The sequence below is a fragment of the Homo sapiens genome, chromosome 5 (assembly GCF_000001405.40).
Source record: "Homo sapiens chromosome 5, GRCh38.p14 Primary Assembly".
NCBI classification, from domain to species: domain Eukaryota; kingdom Metazoa; phylum Chordata; class Mammalia; order Primates; family Hominidae; genus Homo; species Homo sapiens.
This window is the reverse complement of record NC_000005.10, coordinates 82,308,946-82,333,152: the sequence shown is the minus strand read 5'-3', so window position 1 is coordinate 82,333,152 and position 24,207 is coordinate 82,308,946. Positions and strand designations below refer to the sequence as shown.

Sequence of the window (24,207 nt, the reverse complement as noted above, 5' to 3'; positions counted from 1 at the left end):
ATGGTAACTGTCACATGGACTTTGAGAAATTAAACATCCACATGATGGGAGATAAGGCTGGCTTCATCCTGTTCTAAATCAAGTACTAGCTCATGGAAAAGCAATGAATCACTAGTTTTCTTTGAGTGAGGAAGAAACAGATTGTGTGTGTTAATCCATCTACTTAAAATGGAAATATTTTGAAGATTTTAAAAAGGAACTCTGGATCCCAACAAATAAATGCAGATTTGGGAGAGTCATTTATTAAAAAAAAAAAAAAAATGGGTGTGTCTACATTTTCCCTACTGATGACTGCAAGCAATTAGGTAACATAATGGGCAAAACTTGTTAGTAGGATAGAACTGGAAACAAATTATTTTTTCTGTCAAGTTTTCTATTGGAAATATTAAGGAACAACTGATGTCTCTTGGAAAAAACTGAAGACAACACCCTCTTTGGCAATCAGCTGTGGGTTTTCTTTGGTCTGATTTTCCCTGTTTTCCATGGCAAACAGGATTTACTTGAAGATGCCTGTCTCTGATCTGCCTGGCTGTTTTCCATGGGAGTCAGAGCTCCCTGTCTGGTGATGAGTTTGCTTTCTCACAAGTGGAGATGATACCCTGAGACCTACGAGACCCGCTGCCCAAGGGCAGTGAGCATCCTAAACAGATGAACCAGAGAAAGAGAAAATGTTCTCCATAACCAAAAGCAAATGCAGAAAGCCAGGAGGAAAGAGAAACTCTTGGTTCCAAGGACATAGACATTGTTTCTGAGAACATCTGCTGCCTTGTGAAGAGTGTATCATGGAGAACACAATCTTTTTGTCTCAATGGGCATGTCACAAGGCCTACAAAGCAAAGCCCCAGAGAAGCTGTATTAAGAAACAGTGCAGGAGCCTAATTCGTTTTCTATTTTGACATTCAAAAAAAACAAATGTGGCTGTTTGGTAAAACTCTCCTGACTACAAAGGAACCATCTGGGACTAATTATGATATCTAGCCTTATTTAAAACCATCATTTCATTCTGTATTTTGAGTTCCTCTAATGTAGCTAATTAGGGTTTCTCCCAACCCTACTATAATCCCATATATATTATTATATTATAGGGGAGATATATATATATTTGGAGGCATATATATATATTCCAAAGCTTTTGAAGAATTGTGCCAGGATTACTTCTATTAGTAGCAAAGAGTTAGAGTTTTCCAGCAATTCTTTTTTAACTGAAAGTCATTTTCTAAGTTTTCTTCAACAGATAAGAGTAATAGCTCCAGGACAAATTAGTGGCTTACACCATTGGAGCATCACATCTGGAGACCATGACTGCAGTGCACTTGTGTCTCTGTCAGCATGTGAGTTGTTTGCAATAGGACACATTACTGATCCAGAATAAGCGTAGCCCCGCCCCTTCGGGTCTATAGAAAACCCCCAGGGGAGCCGTGAGACCATAAAGAGCTTACCTTCCCCCCAAAAGGTTAGAGACTAAACTACATTGAATAAGCCCTTTCTCTTGCAGGCTACTGGCTAGAAGTAGATGGCTCTGTGGTGGCATCTTTCCCACTCAGCTATACTTCAAATCATTTTTTGAAAGAATATCTTTAAAGAGGCCTCAGAGTTCTCTAAAGTCCTTCTACTGCTTTCTTTCAATTGCTAACTAGAAACTGAATTTAGAAAGGAGATAACAGGAGTTTTGGGGGATCTCTCTTAAACCACAAGGAAAGGCAAGACACCTACTGAAAGAGTAGGAAGCTATCATCCTGGTTTATTACAGAGTAGTTTCCTTTTCCCACAAATAACTCTAGTCAACATGCTGAGAACCACCTCAGGACCACGACATTTGGGCATAGGTCTTTTGATTCCACCCTTCTTTCCTGCTGGCCATTTCCCTACCCCAGCTTGGGGCAGAGCCAGGAAGAAGAGAAAGAAGAACAACTTGACTGCATGTGGATTTTCTGGCAAAAGTTTAGTGAAGGACAAAGTTCAACCTAATTTCTAAAATAAATTTTTCAAGTGTTATTGGTACAAACTCAGTCTGTTCCCCATTACCACAGAAACCAAGAATTAACTATAATTTTGCTTCTATTTGATTCCCTGTAAGGACAAAACCACACTTTTAATGCCAACACATGCACAGTCTAACATTACAGTAAACGTTTTTCTGACGCATTTACAGATTGACAAAAAGAGAGAGAGAGAAAGAAATAAACTAAAACATTTGGCTAGGGCTTAGTTACTTCATTGAAAATCAGTAATATTTCAGAAAGTGGTACAATGTAGAAATTACTAAATCCATTCTTTAAAGACCCTCAGGTTAGAGTCTGAATTACTAGAAAAAGAAAGAAATGCAAATTGTTTATTATTTTCACATGTACAGTAAATTCAAAAAATTGTACTTCTTTTGAGAACCATATGGGACAGGCTTTCTTTTCATCAGGAGTGGTTTTGCTTGTTATGCCAAGAGCTAAAAAGATGTTTTTAATAACCAACGCCAGTTTGTTATACAATCTGTCTGGATTTAGCTTGTAGGAGAGATGAAGATCACTTGGGTAGAAAATAGAGGGTGATGGGGGAGTTGCCTGAGATGATAGAAAAGTAGTGCAAAATACACAAAGATGATGATAAAAGATGATTCTAAAGGTAATCAGCTTAACTTGTGGTTGGTAGAACTCCTGCATAGTTCATTGAGGAACCGTAGGAGGTGACTGGGGCTCCTTTTGTCAATGTGATCAAGTTCTTTATGGGGAGAGTGTAAAAATAAATTGTGTGCTGGCAGGCATGTCCCTTAAATACCTAAGTTTGGTGCAAGTGAGGAATTCACCCAACAACAGCCTCAGAGGATCTCAGAGAACCTGACTCCTCTTTAAACGTGGCTTTGGACAAAGGGAAGGCCAGCACCCTGTCTCAGATTAGGAAAAAAGAGTTATAAGAAATGAGAATGATCTTGAGAGGGTCGCCCATGTGTGTTTCACTAGACCAGAATTTCAAAAAAAGATTCACCAAAAACAAGTACCATGGCAGGATGAAGTTGTCACGGTCCATGATGAAATCAGAAAATTAAGGAAAGTATAGCGCATGTTTCATAAAATTAAACAACTTTGTATTAAGAGCTAGTCTTTTATTGTAAGGTATATCCTTCCTGTATTTCTCAAGTTAGAATATGCTTTATTACATTAGATTGAATCAAAGGAAACTGCCAATATTCAACTGCTTTTGAGCTACAAAAACAACAGTTTGCTAGCATTCAACCTAACATTCAATGATGACAATTGGATATGGGAGATTCTAATGGCCTTATGTGGCAAAATATAGAGCTGGTAACCATACATCAGTATCTAGATTTGGTTTTGAAAGTTGTTTGGTCCATAAAATCCAGAAGAATAGTCATAAATATATATTGCCACTAAAGGTCATCTTAACCGGCAGACTTCTAGATTTTGATTGTGGTAAAATGAAACAACGCCCTCCCCTCCCCCGACCCCTGCCAAAGAAAAAGGAAGATAGACCCAGCCGTGAAACAGAATGTCATGGTCATTGTTGGAAGCAACTCTATAAGAAGGAGAGGGTATAATTCCTTTATCTTGGGACACCAGGAGCACCAGAAAGATATGAAACAGCCCTGAGCTAGTGTCTTCCCCATCCCCCGCCCCAGCCTGTTAGCTCAAAGAAAAAGGAATTTACTGCTTACCCGCATTCATTTTCCTCCAATGGAAGGCACAGAAGCTGATTGGCCACTAGACAGCAAAGGTAAAACTCTACTGGTGACTGGGTAGAAAAGAAGTTCCAGAAACTCAACAATGTGGCTTCTGCCAACAGTAGACATGAAGAAAAGCAATACAGCCTTCTGGTTCTTATAAAAGAGGAATATCCAATGCCAAGATGAGGGCATTTTTATTGACCTTGCCAATCACTGCTCAGGCACACCTGACTGACCACAGTGGGCCAATGGGATTCCCTCTGAGTGGGAATTTGGATTTGTGGGAGGTGAGCTGGAAGGCCCTGCAGAGACTAAGGCTGCCATTTTAGAATGAGCACAATGAGCCCATGTGCAGGCAGAGAGCTGCCCAGACCAGCTAGGTCGTGGAGACCCTAACCCAGCGGCACTAGAGGAATTAAAGACACACACATGGAAATATAGAGTACAGAGTGGGAATCAGGGGGCTGACAGCCTTCAGAGCTGAGAGCCACGAACAGAGTTTTACCCACATATTTATTGACAGCAAGCCAGTGATAAGCATTGTTTCTATAAATCATAGATTAACTAAAACAGGAAACAAAGGGATGGGCTCTGGATAGTTATCTGCAGCAGGAACATGTCCTTAAGGCACAGATCCCTCATGCTATTGTTTGTGGTTCAGGAACACCTTAAGCAGTTTTCCGTCCTGGGTGGGCCAGGTGTTCCTTGCCCTCATTCTGGTAAACCAACAACCTTCAGCATGGGCGTCATAGCCATCATGAGCATGTCACAGTGCTGCAGAGATTTTGTTTATGGCCAGTTTTGGGGCCTGTTTATGGCCAGATTTGGGGACCTGTTCCTAACAGAGAGCTGAAGAGAGGAAGCAAACATGCAAAAGCCATGAGAGATCTTATGCCAAAGAGAAATAGATGGGAAGACACCAAGGCAGAGAAAGTAGCACCCTTCATTCCAGACTGTATTCCAAATCCACATCCAGTCATTCAAGAAGACCTAGCTGGGTCTTGGGATCCAGACCTTGAGATCCATGAGATACCCTGAGACTAATTTTTCTTTACATAGGTGAGCTGGAAGAGGTGGGGGAGGGGTTGTCTTAATTTTACAAACAAAAGATCCTTGCTAAATTGTAAGTTTGTAAGTGATCTATAATATTTAGCAGGAGAAGAAATGAGATTGTAAGTAGAACTGGCCAAAAGTTATAGCAACCTGACTCCCATAACCAGGCTTCATGAATCTGAGACTTAAGGGATGGAAATAGAAGTAACCCTCTCACTAATACCCTGATGATTCACTAGCAAAGGTTTTGCTTCCCATACTTGCAACTTTTGGCTTGGCTGGTTTTGATTTCTTAGTTACAAAGAAAGAGGAATGCTTCCACCAAGAGACAAAACAACAATTCCATTCAACTGGAAGTTGAGACTGCCACATAGCCACTTTAGGGTCCTCACAGCTGTGAATCCACAGGCAAAGGACTTATGTCAGTGGTTCCCAACTGGGAGTGGTTTTTGTCTCCCAGAGGACATTTGCAGTGCCTGAGAACATTTTTGTTCATCACAACTGGAGGAGGGGATGCTCCTAGGTATTGGGTATCTAGTGGTAGAGGTCAAGGATGCTGCTAAATATCCTACTATGCACAGGATGTCCTTGCCCTCCCCCACTTTACATCCCCTCCCTCCCTTCCAAAAGGCCTGCACTGCAGACATCAAATTCTAGTGTAAGACGTGAAGATAGGTTCACAGAGACTATTGAACCAGCTACTACAATTGTGTATAATGTTAAATCTCTATTCCAAAATTAATATATATAGTTCAGCCATTGTGGAAAGCAATTTGGAGATTTCTCAAAGAACTAAGAGTTGAACTATCATTTGGCCCAGCAAATGGGCATATACCCAATGGAAAATAAATTGTTCTACCAAAAAGACACCTGTACTTGTATATTCATCACAACACTATCACAATAGCAAAAACGTGGAATCAACCTAGGTGTCTATCAGTGGTGAACTGAATAAAGAAAATGTGGTACATATACACCATGGGATACTACACAGCCATACAAAAGAATGAAGCCACATCCTTTGCAGCAACATGGATGCAGCTGGACAGCATTATCCTGAAGGAATTCATGCAGGAACCAAAAACCAAATACCACATGTTCTCACTTATAAGTGGGAGCTAAACAAGGACACAAAGATGAGAACAATAGACAGTGGCGACTACTGCAGGGGAGGGGAGTGAGGGTTCGAAGACTATCAGGTACTATGCATTATGCTCACTACCTGGGTGACGGGATCATTCATACATCAAACCCCACAACACGCAATTTACCCATGTAACAAACCTGCACATGTACTCTCTGAATCTAAAATAAAAGTTGATATAAAAAATAATGCACACACACACACACACACACACACACACATTTATACAGGCTCCTTCCATGGCCCTGGAAGGGTCCCTAGCATTATGATCTTTTTGGAAAAGTCTTGAAAATAAGCTATTTTGAACACAGTCAGTCAACTTTCAAAATTATTTTGAATACAGTCAACTTTCAAAATTTGTAACTAGTTGTGATTTGTTTCTCTTTCTTAACAGAGAATCACCTTCATACCTAGTTTATACTCATAATTTCATATTCATTCTCCTAGAGAGGGCCTTCTATAGGAAGGAAAATAATCTATGCTTCAAAATCTGCATCTGGCCCTGCAGAGCTCTAGCTGCACTTGAGGTCAGTTCAGAGCTGATACCCCAGAAAACAAATCAAATGACCCTTTTGCAACTGTAGGATGAAATAGATGCAAACTACAGAGGAACGAAGAAAACAAGTCCTGAGTTCTGACCTCAGGCATTTAAACATGAAGTGAATTCCGCCAATGTAGTCTTCATTGTAGTTTGTATTACAAAAATACCACTCTAAGAAGAAGGGCTGTCCTGGAAAATCAGGTTCAGTCTCAGAATATGCACATCCTCAACAAGAAGAGGGACGCAGCTGAGGGTACAAGGAGCTCAAGAAAGAGGCTAGAACATCAAAATCTTCATCAGTGCATTTTTCTGGACCCTGGACCTTCCCAAAGAGCAGGGAAATTACTAACATGTAAAGAAAGTCTCAGATCTTATTGGAATGATTCATTGAAGTGGAAATGGAAAGTGCCTTGTTTGAGGAGAACATTGAGACATTGAGTAGGTTTCTAAGTTCAATGTCACACATAAATGTGACAACAAAATTTTAAGACAGAGATGGGTTTTGCTCAGAATTGATGTCATTGCTGGCTAAAGATGAACATTTTGGGAAACACTTTATCACTTTAAAATTCTTGGAAATAAAATTTAGCTCCTTAACCAAAAACTGCAATAATATGCATTCTACAGCCAAGTATTTTACAAAAAAAAAATTCTTCACATTTCTAAGTTTTTCTGTGACAACTTTTACACTGAAGAAATAATATGTATCTTTCATGACCTAAATTATAGATACTTTAGACGTATTTTATTTTTTAACATTGTAAAACCATTTTTATCTCAGATCTAAAACAGGATGGATGGATGGAGAGAAGGGAAGGGGGTTAATACATGAAGAGTTGTTATGCTGCAGTTCGAGCTAGGTGGCAAAAAAAAAAAAAAAAAAAAATCTTCTTATGATGGAGAAAGGCTCTTCTCTTTAAGAACAATGCCATACCGAGCATGTTGGTTGTGAAAGGTGAGATTCCTAGAATTCAACCTACATAACAGAGTTCCAATAAAGAAGAATCAAAGCATTCGACATGATAAAGAAAGAAGATTTGGAAGCCTCTGATGGTGGGCTGGGAAGAGAAGGTTTTTAGGTCTCTGAGACTGGGGGATGCATAAAGAATTTGGGGGAAGAAAAAGAGAGATCCTCAAGAGGGTGAAAGTTCAGGGCCAAGAGACAAGCATGGCCAGTGAGAAATTCTCTGTGAGAGGGATTCGCATTAAATGTCCACGAAAAGAGAACTGGGAATGATTTCCTGCCTCAGGCCGTAATTATCCTATCAATTCCCCAACTTTTAGGAAAATCTGTGGTACTCATGCCAACATCATGCAGCTGCTCTCATAACTGAGAGCCAGGGGAGAAGGTGAAGCCACCAGCAAAGTAACTGAGAACCACCAGAGGCAGGAAATCAGAACCAGAAGGCACAGTGAGAATGTGAGACACTGCCACGCACACCCGGTCCACCCTCCTGCCGATGCCCAGCTACGATGGGGAGCAGACTTACTTCTCACACGAAAGGGGCTCAAGCCACTTTATAGGAGAGTAAACTAAAGGTTGACGCAGAAGGTCAGAGGATTTGGGGACATCGGGTAGCCAGCATCAGAGTTACATGTGTTACAAATATAACAACTAATTTGATCACCTACATTTGCCCTATTTTTCCTTAATAAAAATTTCAGAAGATTCAAACCACATTTTAAATTCCAATTCTTTGGAACTAGAGGTTTTGCTCTGGACCATTTGGGTCTTATAAAATGTTGATCTCAGGAGCTAACAGCATCACATAGAAACATTACAAGTTCTATCGCACTGAAAGAAATCTGAAATAAAGGCAAGTCATCTCAATGAGTTACACAGAAATGTGGGTCGATTCATTTCATTAATCATGACCTTGAGGTGTGAAGGCATGGAAGGCACAGGCAGGGACACAGGCAGAAGGACAGCTGCTCAGTATCCTGCCTAGAAAATTGTGTCCCTTTGGTGTCTCCTCTGAGGAAGAGCAAGTGGCTGTTCCTCACCCGCCCCCAAGAAGGGGATCCTGTAACACTCTGGTTCCTCTGAGGACCTAGCTCCACCAATTTTCTTCCCTCTCTAGTATATATTTGTTTAACCTTTCCCTATTCCCCGGTTCCTCCAACCAGCGCAGGGGCTCCCAACTGCAGAGGCAGTCAGCCTGGTGGGGTGTAACACCATGTGGCTTGTTAGCCCTGATTTCTTACACTGTTTATATAAATTAAAGAGTATTCCAGAGCTGCTCTGTAATATTACTCTCATATTCCGCAATGCTTTTTTGAGTGAGAAAGCTCTAGTTTGCTATCTGGGAATTGTCCGTAGCCCACGGCCTATCTCAGCTACCCATGGACATTTATGCATCAGGGATCTCAAAGGAACAGAATGCTGTAAAGCCCGAAAATTGGGATACAGGGTAACAACGTGTGGCCATTTCTGTGGGAGTGTATTACACATGTGAACCGCATTATTCATAATGTTGCAGCAGGCAAAACAAACACCTCATCGCTAATGCCTTACCCTACAATATGCTCAAGTTTCTTCCATCTTATTAAAATCTTATTAAAATGGTTGCCTTAAATCCTTTCCGAAAAACTCTAAAACTGCTAGATGTAAAACAAAGCAACAAATAAATTTTAGTTTGTCTAAACCCCTGTGTAAGTCTGTTTCCAACAGGAAACAGATGGCACCCTCAAATTAGGATAATTTAAGTGGGGTTTAGTTAAACAAGAACCTTTTATAAGGGTCCCAGTAGGGTGTAGGAGAACCACAAGGGATAGTGTAGTGACCTGGGGCTAGTAGCAATGGAGTAACCATCCCTGAGTCGAAAGCAACAAGGGAAGAAGTTACTGAAAGGCAGAAGGAGAGAATGTGGAGGGGGCTGTCTTGAAAGGAACAGTGAACGTCAGAGAAGGGATGAAACCCAGTCGAAACCCAGTCGAAAGCATTCCCTCTGGGAGAGCCCCAAGGGATAAATATCCTGAGCTCCCTCTACTCCCTCTTTTCCATGGAGTGCGATGTTCACCAAGGACTTCCTACTGGGCAAATGCAGGAAATAAACACTCCTTAGTTCTTTTCTCACTTGATCTCTCTCCAGCATTTGACATGGTTGACTACTTCCTTCATCTTGAAATCCTGTTTTCCTTTGATTTCTGGGACACTACTCTTTCTTGGTTTGCTCTCTTCCTCTCTGATTTCTCCTACTCTAAATCTACAGATTTGTCTTTCTAGTCCTACTCCATAAATGATAGTGTTCCCCAGGGGTCTGTTATCAACCTATCCTTTCTTCTCAGGTGATCTCATTTATTTCTTCACTACCACCTAGTTTTCAACTTTCCCCATATGCCCATTACTACCTGTCTTAGTTTGGTTTTCCCCAGAAGTATATCCTGAAACAGGGATGTAGATGCAAATCATTTGTTTTGGCAGTGATGCCTGGAAACGCCATCAGGGGAGTGGGGAAGGGAGACAGGGAAGAGAAAGGAGCCCATAAAGTAAACATTATTAAGCAAGATTCCACAATGGGCGAAAAGAGCTTAGTCCTGCTGGGAAGCTCCAGGGAACAGCGTAAAACATACTCTAGAGTTATCCCAGGCAAAGGGCAAATGAGCTGCAGCATTTGCACACAATCCCTGAGAGTCATTTTTTGAGGGCTACTCCCAGAAAGCATTAATTCCTTACCCCTTCCAGCCTGTTGTGACCATAGGTAGAGAAGCCCCTGAGGACAGTTGTTGACAATGGAAAGATGTGCCAGAATACACCAAAATGGTAACTACCAAAGCAATATGGGTGGAATACTGACAGCATCTGCTACATTTCTAAATTTCTGTTTCTGGTCCAGATCTCTCTATTTTTCCCCTGATCCACAGAACCAACTGCCTACTTGGACTTCTACTGTCAGACTCCAGGGGCCTCCCACTCCCACCCTCACCTGTTTTCTCACTGATTGCAGAGCTTGACACCACCATCCTCACAACCCCAAATCAGACACCTACCATTCATTTGTGATTTGCTAATTGGTTGCCAACCTCCTAACACCTCTTTTAGATTCTACCTTCCATCCCACTGTGTTAGTTCAGGTCCTAATATTTTTTGCCTAAGCTATTGCAACAATCTCCTAATCAGCACTTCTCTCCCTATTCTATTCACACTTCCACACCATGTAATCGTCTTGCTTGAAATCCTCCAAAATCTTCTTAAGGGCCTCTCAATTACCTCAAGTCAAGATTCTAAGTCTTGAGGTGAACACAACGATCTGGTCTCTCTCTTCATCTCCAGCTTCTCCTTCTTAACTCCTCTAAACACATTCTATCTACCTACCCACACACATGTGTTCATAGTTCTCCACACATGACAGAGCCTAGACTTTGCATATGTGTTTCCTTCTGCCATGCTTTCATCTTTCCTTCAACTCCAACTTGTGTCAAACATCACTTTTTTTGCCATTTTGTTACAGATCTCCAAGGAGACAGCTCTTAGGCTATGTTTCTGCAGCACCAACAATTACTGAGCAATAATCACATATCTAATGGGTTTATAGTAAAGGTATTCATATGAATAGTGTAGGTTCTTTACCTGAAGATCGGAACATACCAGAAGTGATACAAAAAGATGAAGACCTAATGGATAAGCATACAATTGTTCATAATAATGCTCAACATCAGACATAAAGATGTCTTAAGATGTCTCTTTTTCACTGAAGAGATTCAAGTTATGAGCAGACTCGGCTTTGGGAATCTACCATGATGGTTCGAGTAAGGCTTTTTATACCAGATCTAGATTCTATCATCAACACTGTTATTATGCGGATCAAAGGGTACATCAGTGGATTGTGCAGCCACAGATGTCAAAGACCAATTTACCATTAACAAAGTTAATCTAATCTGATTAACACTCCTGCCCATCAGCCTTTTAAGGTTACTGGGCTGCTACTCACCCTCTGCCACTCCAGTGTCTCAGCATCCCTATGGAAACTAAGCATTCTGTTTCAAAGGTAATATCTACCTCCACCCATAGCCTACAGAGGACAGCCACCAGAGCACTTTTCAAAAGTGCTGATGCCACGTTCCCAATGTGTTCCTCAGTGCTATGACAAAGGGAGTGTCCTCCGGGCCTTTACAGAGAAAAATAGTTATGGGGAGGGAGAGCTGTTCATGCATGATAAATCCATTCCTACATCCCAATCATTTAAGTTACTGCACTTCTCTTCTTTCTCTATCTAATACTAAGAAATGACTGATCCCTCTACTTCATTTAGTGTGTGCCACTGTTGAATCTAGGTTTTAAACAACAAACAGAGCAAACTGTTAGGAACACTTCCAGCCGCTCAAACCAGCACATTTAATCCAAAATCCCTGGTGAGAGAACCCATATCCAAAAAATTCATCCAGTCTAAAATTATACAGCTCATTCCCTGGGCTGGCAACTCCAGATCCATTACCATACATAATCTCCCAAATCTTTTGTGGCGTAAGTTAGCAAAACTATTTTTGCAATTTGATTATCACAGATTTGACTTTACAATTGGTTCCCTGGTATATGCCAGAATGTGACTCTAAGTGCCTAAAGGCAATGAGGAAAATTGACACCCCCTGGCAAGACAACTATTTCTGGTGAGGTCATCACAGTGTCTTCAAGCAAGGCAGGAATAGCATTGTCTCACAGGGGTTGCTTCTGCTAACAAGAAAAAAATTAGTGGAATTTGGGAGTTCAGTATTTTTAAAAAGTTAAATCCTCCCAAAAGTCACTATTCTATTCTCAACGTTCCCCTCTTTTTTTATTTTAAATTTTATTTTATTTTTGAGACAGGGTCTTACTCTGTCACTCAGGCTGGAATGCAGTGGCACAATCGTAGCTTACCACAGCCTCAAATTTCTGAACTCAAGTGATCCTCCAGCCTCAGCCTCCTGAGTAGCTAGGACTACCGCTTATGCCACCAAGCCCAGCTAATTTTGTTGTTGTTGTTTGTAGAGACAGGATCTTGCTGTGTTGCCCAGGCTGATCTCGAACTCCTGGGCAAAAGTGATCCTCCTGCCTCAGCCTCCCAAAATACTGGGATTACAGGCATAAGCCACTGTGTCTGGCCTATTTTATTTTATTATTTCTAGAGACAAGGTCTCACTCTGTCACTCAGACTGGAATGCAGTGATATGATCATAGCCCACCGTAACCTCAAACTCCTGGGCTCAAGCAATGCTCCTGCTTTAGCCTCCTAAGTAGCTAGAACTATAGGTGCATGCCAGCAACCTTACCTAACTTTTTAGAATTTTTTTTGAATAGACAGGGTCTCACTATGTTGCTCAATCTGGTCTTGAACTCCTGGCATCAAGCGATCCTCCTGCCTTGGCTTCCCAAAGTGCTGAGGATACAGGCATGAGCCACTGCTCTTAGCCTGTCAGCGTTCTTCTGTTTTGTGATCATTATGCTTGTGTTCATATAAGAGATCCAGCAAAGCTATGAATTTCACCTGCAATGCAGGTAAGCAGTTTGCAGGATCTGACCTGTGTCTGATTTTCCACCACGCCGGCCCTTTGACAAGATATAAGGAATCTCTTTAGATGAGTCATAGAAACTTCCCAGACTGTAAGCCACTGGGCACAGTTAGAAAGAGCCAGTCTAACCTGCAGCATATCATCCATACCCATGGTGACTATCTATCCCAGTTTGCTTGGCACCATCCTATTTATGTCTGCTATCTGAGAATTGTTAACTATACTCGTTTTCTCTTTCAAAAGTGTCCTAGTTTGAGCAATACATTATGTTTACCCTTCACGTACATGTAACCTAGCAAACAACCACTTATAACACCAGTGGATGCTCAAGGGAACCACAATAAAAATCTGTTTTATTATTGAATACCATTCTCTAAGGCTGACAGTTTCCACTGGTTTAAAGCCAAATGGAGTTGGATAATCAATCATAGATTTGCATTTTCTTGAGAGTCTGTTCCCTGCAATCCTCTTGGTACTAACAACTACATAAATCAGGATTCTTCACTGCAGACTACAGAATCAACTCTGTTATTAAAACAGAAAGAAATTTACTATAAAGTATGGGATCTTACAGAATTCTGAGAGGGCCAGAACCAAACCTACATTCATAACCAAGAAAATTGCAGCCAAAATAAATGCTCAACATGAGACTGTCCCATCAGAAAACTGTCATTATCATCTACTGCTTACCACCTAGGATGGGACTAGACAGCAGACTCATCGTGACAGCTGCCCAGAAGATTTTCTTGCTCTGTGTGTGACCCTCCACTGCACATGTTTCCTGTCTGCATTCTAAGTTTTGTGTAGGAGTATCTTCTTAGTAGAACCTAGGTCCTGTACCAAACCCTACCTGGGAAAATGCAATGTCATCTTTATGTTTAAGATCTCTTTAAGACAGAAGGTATATTATTAGAGACGCTTTGGTGAGGATGAAGGTTGAATCAATCTTCAGTATCTGCCAAGAGCTGAAAAGGATGATGAGGAATGCATATGAAAGACAGCAATGGTAAGAACATCAGTGGTGGCTCCAGAATTTCTATTCAGGAAGCATTTAGAGGGCACTATCTCATTGGAAGGAAGATCAGGGGAATGTCTCAAAGCTGTGTTTGCATAGCAAGCACACTGTTATTGCTTAGCTCTACTGTTTATTCCAAGTGGACCTATGAGAGCTCATGGAGGTCTAAATCAGACAAGTGAGACAACCCTGGCCCCTTCCCAAATGGAAAGGTAAAATATGGCCATGACTATTACCCCTACTTCACAGATGGAGCTGTACTGCTTCTGAACAGCACAGTAAAGGACAAGAAGGTCCTTAAATAAAGTGCTCTGCCACATGTTGAGTCCTCCCTCAACATTTCTATGAAAGAGAAAAAGACTGTTTTTAAAACAAAATTGGGACATAATATCTAGAAATGCAAATTATGTTACAAAATAGTTTAAATTATGAACTTCCAGATAATCTTGGTTTATTATTTCTATAATTGTCACATCCAAACTGGCACAGGCAAGGAGGACCAAGTGTGTTTTCCCTTCTCTGTGTTGCCAATCTTTCTCTCTCTCTCCCTCTCCCTCCCTCCCTCCCTTTCCTCCTCCTCCTCCTCTTCCTCCTGCTCCTCCTTCTCCTTCTCCTCCTCCTCCTCCTCCTCCTTCTTCTTCTCTCTCTCTCTTTTTCCGTACTTGAAATACCCCTTTGCTTTCAGGGTACTTTGAGGCAACTAACAGTCATATTTGTCTCTGTGGGATCCCTGAGATGCCTTTTTTGATTGCCCCAAGTCTACCTAAGTAGGCCAGTGGATGGTTCAAAAAGAATTCATTATCTATTTCCTTTTTGTGTTTTTTCTTTTTTTTTGTAATCAAGCCATTTGGTGAAAATCTGTAATTCACAAGTCAAATAGCACAGAACAGAGACAACTTTCGGAGCCCACTGTGGACATGGTGGGGGCCAGCCTGTGCTGCTAAACATAGATTTTGCTGATCTGTTGGCTTCTCAGTTTATAGCATTCAGCCCCCTGGCTCCTCAGCAGCTCCTTCTCTTCGGCTGTGTCTCGAGCTTTCAGCTGCGAGAAGTGGGCAGGAGAGGCGATGAGATCATATTGTTGGTCCAGATACCGCAGGTAGATGAGCATGTGCAGGGCATAGGCCAACACCAGCAGCAGGATCAGGGACATTGCCAGGCCGATCAGAAAAGCTGGCGAGAAGGAGGAGGCGCAGTCTTGGGCTTTGGTAAATCGTCCCCCCTTGATGGCAAAACCTTGGATCTGCAGGAGAAAGGAAGGAGCTGAAGTGATACATCCCTTCTCTCCTAGGATCTACTTCCCAGTTGGGCTGGCAGTTCTGGCCCCTAGGTAGCCAAATTTAATATACTATCACCATATTTGCTGAATAATTTAACCACACAATTTGACAAATGTGATTGTGCTTATGGGGACAATGCAACTCAATCTTAAAACAAGACTGACCCAGAAATTCTGGGATGCATGGATGTCATAACTAGGAGGCTCATGAAATTCAAGACTCTGAAATAAAACCTTGATTTCAAGGCTCTGAGATAAAAGTTCTTTTAATCTGATCCTTAGAAATATTCCAGTTCATGTAAAAACCACAACTGCTGTGGTGTCTCTAAAATTCAAAGCACACTCAAAATTTTATAAGGGTAGTATAAGTTTCACAAAGATTTTAAGTCTCCGTTCCTCTGCCTTTGATTCTATTGACAGGAATGAGGAAGAGTCTTTGAAGGGGGATGTCATGATCCTTAATGAGGTAAAACATAAATAATAATCATAAAAGCTAACACGTATTGAAGGTTTTTGTGCACCATATACTACCTTGTTTAGTAGGCAAAGAGCCTATGAGTAAGTTACTATTTTATTCCTACTTTATGGATGAGGAAACTGAGGCACAGAAAAATTAAGTAACTTGCCCAGAGTCACATAACAGTAAATGCTGTGATGGTGTAATTGAAACCTGGGCAGTGGGCGTCAGACTCATACTCCATAGCTCCTGGTGGGTTCTGTCTCTTCCTCCTCCCTACCCTCTCTCTCTCTCTCTATTGGTTTTATCATACAGGCTTTGTCCCATTTTTGGAAGAGGTGGATACCAGCCCCTCCTTGCATCCTACCCATTACGTTTAATGGCAAAAACCGCAATCACTTTTGCACCAACCAAATAGAAAGTAAAGCTTCCATTGTGTGCAGATGAAATGGTATAATTACTTGAAAGGAAGAGAGGTTCAAATTGAGAACTGGCACTGATATCTAATACTGTCAAAATGAAACAGGACTATAGAGCAATTACTTTAAAGCAAGAGCCATCGCTTGTGGAAGACAGCTCCCTGTCCAGCCGGCTTTAAAAGTATGACCCTACACAGCATTTCCTCATTCAGACACCTACTCAGTTTTTAAAGAGTACATCAGACAACTGAACTATCCATGAGTGCTTTACTGAAAATTCACTTTGATGGCTTAAGTGAGCACTTTGGCATTGTCCCATGCTAAAATTATTGAGGCCGCCCATCACTCCATAGACACAAGGGGCCTTGCTCGCCCAACTCGATTGAACCCAAAGCAGATCCTGAAGGAGACTCTTGTCCTGGCTTCGGGGATCCCTGCCCCACACCTCCTATAAAGAGACAAAGTGACCTTCTCTTGAGACTGGTGCCTGAAGAGTCGAGCTCCTCCATGACAAAAGAGGACCTCACTTGATTCTGCAACTCCAGCCAAGGAGAACGTCCTGAGGTTGACTGACACTTAATTCTTTTTTTTTTTTTTCTTTCTTGAGATGGAGTTTTGCTCTTGTCGCCCAGGCTGGAGTGCAATGACAGGATTTCAGCTCACTGCAACCTCGACCTCCAGGGTTCAAGCGATTCTCCTGCCTCAGCCTCCCAAGTAGCTGGGATTACAGGCACTTGCCACCATGCCCTGCTAATTTTTGTATTTTTAGTAGAGACAGGGTTTCACCATGTTGGCCAGGCTAGTCTCAAACTCCTGACCTCAGGTGATCCACCCATCTCGGCCTCCTAAAGTGCTGGGATTACAGGCGTGAGCCACCACGCCCAGCCAACTGCCACTTAATTCTTAACAAGACTTGTTTGAGAACAGTAAGTGTGGAGAATGCCTGAAGGATACATTGTCCACCCATTTCCTGGACTAGAGGTTATACAGACATGCTGTTTCTAGCCCACAGGTGTGTTTTGTTTGACCCAGTACTCGGAATATCCTGAAAATTTCCTGTGAGAATCTACCATTCTAGCTTCTATTGAAAAGATCCAGCAACACCAGCCCTGCATTCCTACAAAGCAAAAATCAGCTGCAGTTGAATTTGTAAAATGCTCATTGTGATGAAGGCTACCCTTTGCCATGGTCCCAGCCCAACTCACCAGTTACCCAAGTACTCGAGTTTGCCGCACCGGCCACATTGCTCTATGCTCTATTCCCACCATAAGCCAGGCCAGCAGAGCTGTGTATGTGGACAGCAGCCTTTTGTACACATACCTCAGCCACCATCACCATCACCTCCTCTCCCCTGGACTGAGCTTGTGTTCTGCCATCTCTTCACATGAAGGGGGTTTCAACAAGGCCCATCTGTCCCCCTGAAAGCTGTGTTTATAATAAGAATGCTGATGAGGATGTATACATCTCACACCACCAGGGATGAATGTGCTTATCCCAAGCACATTGGCAGTAGTCTTAGGGAGCCTGTGAACATGTAACTGAGTGTTTCTCATACTGGCTGCTCCAGAACTTCAGAGCCAAATTCTTGTGCCGCCTCCAGCCAGTGCAGACAGATGGTCTCGTGGTTTTGTATATTAACCTCACTGGTGGCTCTAACTGACATTTTCTTCCTTTGTGTTTCTCTACCCCCAAGTCTTTGCTAAATTTTTTGTTTTTTTATTATAAAACATATATGATATAAAATTTATCATCTAACCATTTTAAGTGTATACAGTTCAGGGATATTAAGTACATTCACATTGTTGTGCAACCATTGCCGCCATCCATCTCCAGAATGCTTTCACATCTTGCAATACTGAAACATTACTCCCATTAAACACTAACTGCCCATTCCCTCCTCCCTTCAGTCCCTGGTAACTACTATTCTACCTTTCCATCTCGGGGTTTGACAACTGTAAGTACCTCATATAAGTGAAATGATGCAATATTTGTCCTGTTGTGGCTGGCTTATTCCACTTAGCATTATGTCTTCAACATTCATTCATGTTGTAGCATGTATCCAAATTTCCTTCCTCTTTTTAAATTTAATTTTTTTTGAGACATCTGTCACTCAGGCTGGAGTGCAGTGGTACAGTCTTGGCTCACTGAAGCCTCGACCTCCTGGGCTCAAGCAATCCTCCCACCTCAGCCTCCCAAGTAGCTGGGACTACAGGTGACACCACTACGACCCCAGCTAATTTCTTTTTTAAAAATTGTTTGTAGAGATGGGGGTCTCACTATGTTGCCTAGGCTGGTCTCAAACTCCTGGGCTCAAGAGTGATCCTCCTGCCTCAGCCTCCCTAAGTGCTGGGCTTAAAGGCATGAGCCACCACGCCCAATCCCCAAATTTTCTTCATTTTTAATGCTGAATAATATTCCATTGTACATATACACTAGATTTGTTGATCCATTCATCCATTGATAGACATTTGGGTTGCTTGCACCTTTTGGTTATTGTGAATAATGCTGCCATGAACGTAGGTATAAACACAGGTGAAAGCTGTTCAAGTCCCTGTTTTCAATTATTTGGGGTATATAGCCAGAAGCAGAGTTGCTGGATCCCTTGATAATTGTATGTTTAACTTCTTGAGGAAACTCCATACTATTTGCCGCAGCATCCACACCATTTTACATTCCCAACAGCAATGCACAAGAGTTCCAACTTCTCCCTGTCCTTGCCAACACTTGTTATTTTCTGTTTGCTTGTTGTTGTTTATAATAGCCATCCTAATGGATGTGAAGTGATTTGCCTATTTTTGAAAGTAATTTTTCATAAGTAGTATTTCCATAAGTCAACTAAGTCATTTCTGGAACAAGGTAGAGGTATAAATCAATCAATTCCCCCGGTCTAAATAGGCGAAATTATATGTAAAATATTCCTTGTTGTCATTATATCCTCACTGCCATTCCTCTATATGTATACATACACACATGCATACACACATGTATAGACATACACATACATAATATAAATAATATTTATAAACATTTTATACACACACACACACACACACACACACACACAAAAGAATCCTTGGAACCAAACTGTCCAGAATTTGAGTTCTGCCTCTACCGTTTACCAGTTATACTCCTTAGAAAAATTATGTGATTATCGGAGATTCAGTCACCTCATTCATAAAACCACCTTGCAGCATTATGGTAAGTTCTGAAGACAAAGCACATAAAGTAACGACCACAGTACCAACACACACGGGTCACTCACAGGTAGCAATTATTGTTAATCCACGCCTGGCACACTCCTGAGTGTTTCCACATATCTTAGGCCACGTATTCTTTACATTAATAAAGATAGGTGAGAAATTGAGAGAGGTTAAGTAACTTGCCCTGGTGGCTGAGCAGTAATTTGAAACCAGGTCTGTCTGACTCCAAAATGTGAGCTCCTTCCCTACCCCAAACTGCCTTTCATCCACACGACACTTCTCTAAGCTTGGGAAGGATGAAAGGGAAGAATATGCATATATGCCAATGCCCACATATATTTGGAAAAGGTTGGAATGTGCCCATAAGAGGTACATGCAAAGCCCTGCCTACTATTTCAGGGAGTGGTAGGAACAAGCTAAGCTTCATTCACAGGTAAACAGGATAGAGGAACTTGACAGAATGTCTCTCAGCCTAAGATTCTGGTGGTGAAAAGGAATCTCTTACACCCCATTCCTTACTCCAAATACTTTCAAGATCTTTGGGATATTTTTGACTCCCCGCTGAGTCCCTTCCTACTAACTGCCAAAGCTGTCACTCACACTGCCGATGTACTTCTTATCTTCCCTGATAAGATCACTGCGCCACTCCCTGAAGGAAATAAAATAATTGTCCGCCAATGCCTCTCCCCAGAAGGGCCTCTCAGTCCAGGAAGTGTCAGTCCCTGGCTTCACCCACAGCTTCACTAGGGCTTAGATGGCTGGCATTCCTCACTGATAATTATTCGTGCTGGATAAAGCTGAATGTAAAAGCAAGCCCTGGGTAGGAGGTGGGGGACACAGGGAGATAAAATTCTCTATCCTATTCTACTTCATACCTTAAAAGACAAAGGAAAAAAACCACCAATATTCTTTTAAAGGCATCTACTTCTCTTTTCCTTAAGCATCTAGGTTTGTTTCAGGTGTTTTTAAACAAACACTGAGCTCTTTTGGTACCAAAAACGCAGGTGCATTGAGCATAGGTTTTAGTTTATTACCTGGAAATCAATAAAAGTGACCTCCCACAGGCTCGACCCATCATCCGTGTCGCTGGGCAGCAAGAGGGCCTGGTCCTGCTGCAGGCTGCCCACGCGTTGGCAGCGGTAGGAGTAACCAGAGGGAGCATATACGCCAGTTGGGTTAAAGACTGCTTGGATTGAATTGTTGGAAATGATCTCGACTCGGCGCAAACTAAACCAACTCTGGATGGACAACTTGTTGTAATTGGTAAGGATGAATCTGAAAATGGTTATAAAAACAGCATTACTCCTAAAGAACTTTTCCCACGTTTACTGACGCAAGGCATCGTCTATGAACAGTACAATGGCGCCCTCTTTTGTCAGGCGGCAGAACGGGCTTGGGGAAAGGCTTCACTTTTGCTGCAGAGCCTTCCCTGGATGGATGGAAAAAGAGCAAATGACAGGGCAGCACCCAAAGTGGACAGTGCAAATTCCTACGAAAGAAAAAACACACAAAGTTTGGGTTTGTTTTGTTTTGTTTTTCCTTTTTTAGAATCAACACTTGATTATGTGTTTATTATTCAAAAAATTTGAGAAAAACTTAAATGGACATCAATGAAGAATTTGCTAAATTGTGGTTTAAAATAATAGTAATAGCTCTCTTAATAACTTCTGTGTTATGTATGTGTATTGTGTTTAATCTTCACTTCAACACCATGTAATAGATAATGTCCTTATTCTAACTTCACAGCTGAGGAATCTAAGACACAAAGGGCTTGAATAAGCTCACTTGGAGAGTAAGTGTCAGAGCTGGGCTTCAAATCCAATCTTAACTCTTTTGGAATGGACTGTTTTCCAGCCATGAAAAAAGTCATAATTTACTTGTCATTATCATTTTATTTCCATTTAAAAAAAAAAGTGACTGCATTAAAAAAAAATGTCTGGAAGGATAGAGATTAAAACATTAGTAGTGATTACAAATGGTGTTTAGATTATTGATGATTTTCATTTTCTTCTTTCTGTAGCTCAATATTTTCTGATTTTTCTGTTTTCATTAGTTTTTCTTGTCTCTATTTGGCTTCTTTGCAAGCAGTCTCTAAGACACAGGTGTGAATATAAGAAATATTCAGGGGAGTTTAGTCATTCAAAATACGTAAAATGGAGAGAAAAGAAATGACAGAGGAAGGGAAGGCAGCTAAAAGAGGTACATTATTAAGCCAGTTTCCAATGTGGACAAGCAGGGCTTCATGGCCGTGATGGAACCTGGGAGCCAGAGCACAGCACATGCTGCTGAGTTATCTCACCTGACGGGGAGGGAGCTGAGGTGTGTGTATGTGTCCTCCAGTCATTGGTTGAAGGCTGCTGGGCCAGGGACTGGGGGCAGTGGGCCAGAGAAAGCTTTTAGGCAAAGAGAGGCGGGGAGTTGAAAGTTCAGCAGGTAGGCTACAGTGCTCTCAAATGGAAAGGACCATGTAGATATTCACGGGGTACTGACAGTTTCTGCTACATACCTTTATCATCAGAATAAATAATAATAACAATAATAATAATAAAGCTATTTTTCATTTTGGAAAAAAGTGGAATTACAGATCAAAAATAGTCTCCATTTCTAGATCAAACAGACATGTGTGTTTGGTCACCTTGTGGGATTCTATTTACTTGTAAAGTTGCTCTGAAAGATGATGACATATATTTTCTAAATTATGATCAGTGAAACTCTAGTCTCCCATGATATGTAGACAAGTGTTCTGAGGAAGAAGGTTCTCCAAAATTAAACACAGGAAACACTGAGTTAGTCAAAGTTACAAAGTGCAATAGTCTTCCTTAAGATTATTTTTTCTCAGAAACTTTAACATACAAATTTACACTGTGAATTGCCAAGAGGAAGACATGGTTTAGAGTCGTTCCCAGACACATTTGACCACAGAATCCCCTTTTCATAAAATCTTATAAATATTTTTACAGAGCAGAAGTGTCCCATAGAGCAAAGCTTAAGAAAGACTGCCCTAGCACAATCCTGCTGGTTTTCCAAATAATGTTAAAGACACAACTACTTATCTCCACTAACAAGTTTGTCTTATAGGAAGGGAAGCACTGTATTTTTATAAGAAAAAAAAAAAGCCTTCAAATTGCTCCCCCTACCTCAGGAGCAGTTCCTAACTGCTTGGCTAAAGTCTCTGTTGACAGATGCATCCTTTCATACCTAAACACCAAAAAACTGTAGGCCTCTGTTGATTGTCTGCTGGGGAATACACGTAACGAGGCTTTTTCACTGTAGTTAAATGGTAAGTGTGATTCATTATAAGAAGCTATAGAAAATAAGTTCAAACCAGAGCCCCAGCCCTTAGAGCTTTTTCTTTTGTCTTCTTTTCTCAGAAGAAAAGGATATTACATTCTCAGGATTGGGAGTTTTCTAAGTCCCTAATGCAGGCGGCATGGGGGTGGGGGAGAGGGAAGAACTATGGGTATTTTGGTAGAAACTTTTAGAAAGAAAGCATTAGTATAGGATCCCATCATATCACAGCACCAACTTTTCCGTTTAATTAGGTTGATGTGGCATGCAATGTGTCACAGTGCTTGGGCATATAGCAAGCCCTTGCTTCGCACATGTGGAATGAATAAATTCTATAGAGCTAATCTGAAGTGCTGAAACTGCGATACTCCAAAGTGGTGTCCTACCTACCTTATAGCAAGACTTCTGGGGTTTCCAGCATCACCAAGCTTCAAAGACAACCTAAGAAAAGGAAACAACGCAGTCTATGAAAATAGGAATGACCCTGACTTCATATGTACTCAAAAGTTACCTCAAGGTGGATCACGTAACACCTAACACACAAAATGTACAGAACTTTTTTTTAATCTTGAGGTAGGCAATGGTTTCCTGAAAAAAGTACAAAGGCATGAACCATAAAAGAAACAACTGATAAATTGCATTTTACTAAAATCCAGAACTTTTACTCTTCAAAAAACACTGTTTAAGAAAACAAGAAAGGCAAGCCACGCAACAGGAGAAAATACTCACAACACGTATACATAAAGAACTCTATCCAGAATACAATAAATAACACTAACAACTCAACAAAAGACAGCCCAATGTAAAAATCATAAAAATTGTCAGAAGACTCGAGCATGTTTTAAAGAAAGATATACAAATGGTCAATAAGTACATGAAAAGATGCTTAGGACCATTAGACATTCGGAAAATGTAAAATAAAACCACAATAAAGATAACACAGTACAGGAATCAGAATGGCTAAAACACTTTTTAAACTGACTCTTAAGCTTTTAATACCTACATTTATTCCTGTTTTCCTAAGAGTAAACATAAGATTTCCCAGAGCAAAGACAGATGAATTGACTTACTCATGGGAACAACCATATTGGTTCCCCCTTCTAATCCAATTCTCCTCCACCCAGGCAGCAGGAGAAGAGCCAGATGTCATCCTACACATATTGAGATTTGTAATACAGATGAGCAACACCAAAATTATGAATCTGGGAGCTTATATAGGAGAGAGACCGTGGTTTCCTTCTCACCTCCCAAGAGAGGGAGAGAAACATTTGCTCCTCTAGTGTCAATAAATTCTCCTTAGGAAGAGAAGAGGGATGATTAGTCTTTGGATGAAAGACTTTAATTAGCCTTTGGATGGAAGCAAATCGCTCACCATAAGGAGACAAATGGCTGCAGGTCTCATACCCATGGTATGTAAATAAATATCTCCGAGGGGAGGATAAGATAAGCCTCTCTGAGTTTCTAACCCCTGGAACGTCTCTATGGCCTTGAGTTTCATTACCCCTTGATACATGAACACAACACATTCCTTTCAAGAGGTAAATCTCTCACTAACTCTAACACTTATCTTTTAACCCAGTTCCCAGTAAAAATTTGTTCAGAAATTCCTAAACATGCAGAAATATAAAAATGCTTTCTCTAGTCTCACTCTG

General features: G+C 41.2%; 1 pseudogene across 20 annotated transcripts in view; it reads right to left on the bottom strand.

Annotated features, from left to right (window-relative positions):
* Window positions 1-14,346: 14,346 nt before the first annotated feature.
* Window positions 14,347-24,207, bottom strand: part of ATP6AP1L (ATPase H+ transporting accessory protein 1 like (pseudogene)) — a 40,157-nt pseudogene continuing 30,296 nt past the window's right edge. For 17 of the 20 annotated variants that reach the window (NR_172122.1, NR_172119.1, NR_172117.1 and 14 more), the window contains 3 exons: window positions 22,946-22,996; window positions 20,302-20,542; window positions 14,347-15,155 (listed from right to left, as the gene is read on the bottom strand). The product of NR_172122.1 is annotated as an ATPase H+ transporting accessory protein 1 like (pseudogene), transcript variant 17 (transcript). Of the gene's footprint in view, window positions 15,156-20,301; window positions 20,543-20,578; window positions 20,757-22,945; window positions 23,020-24,207 lie in introns of those variants that run through there. The other 3 variants (NR_169870.1, NR_169868.1, NR_169871.1) reach the window with 3 other exon arrangements.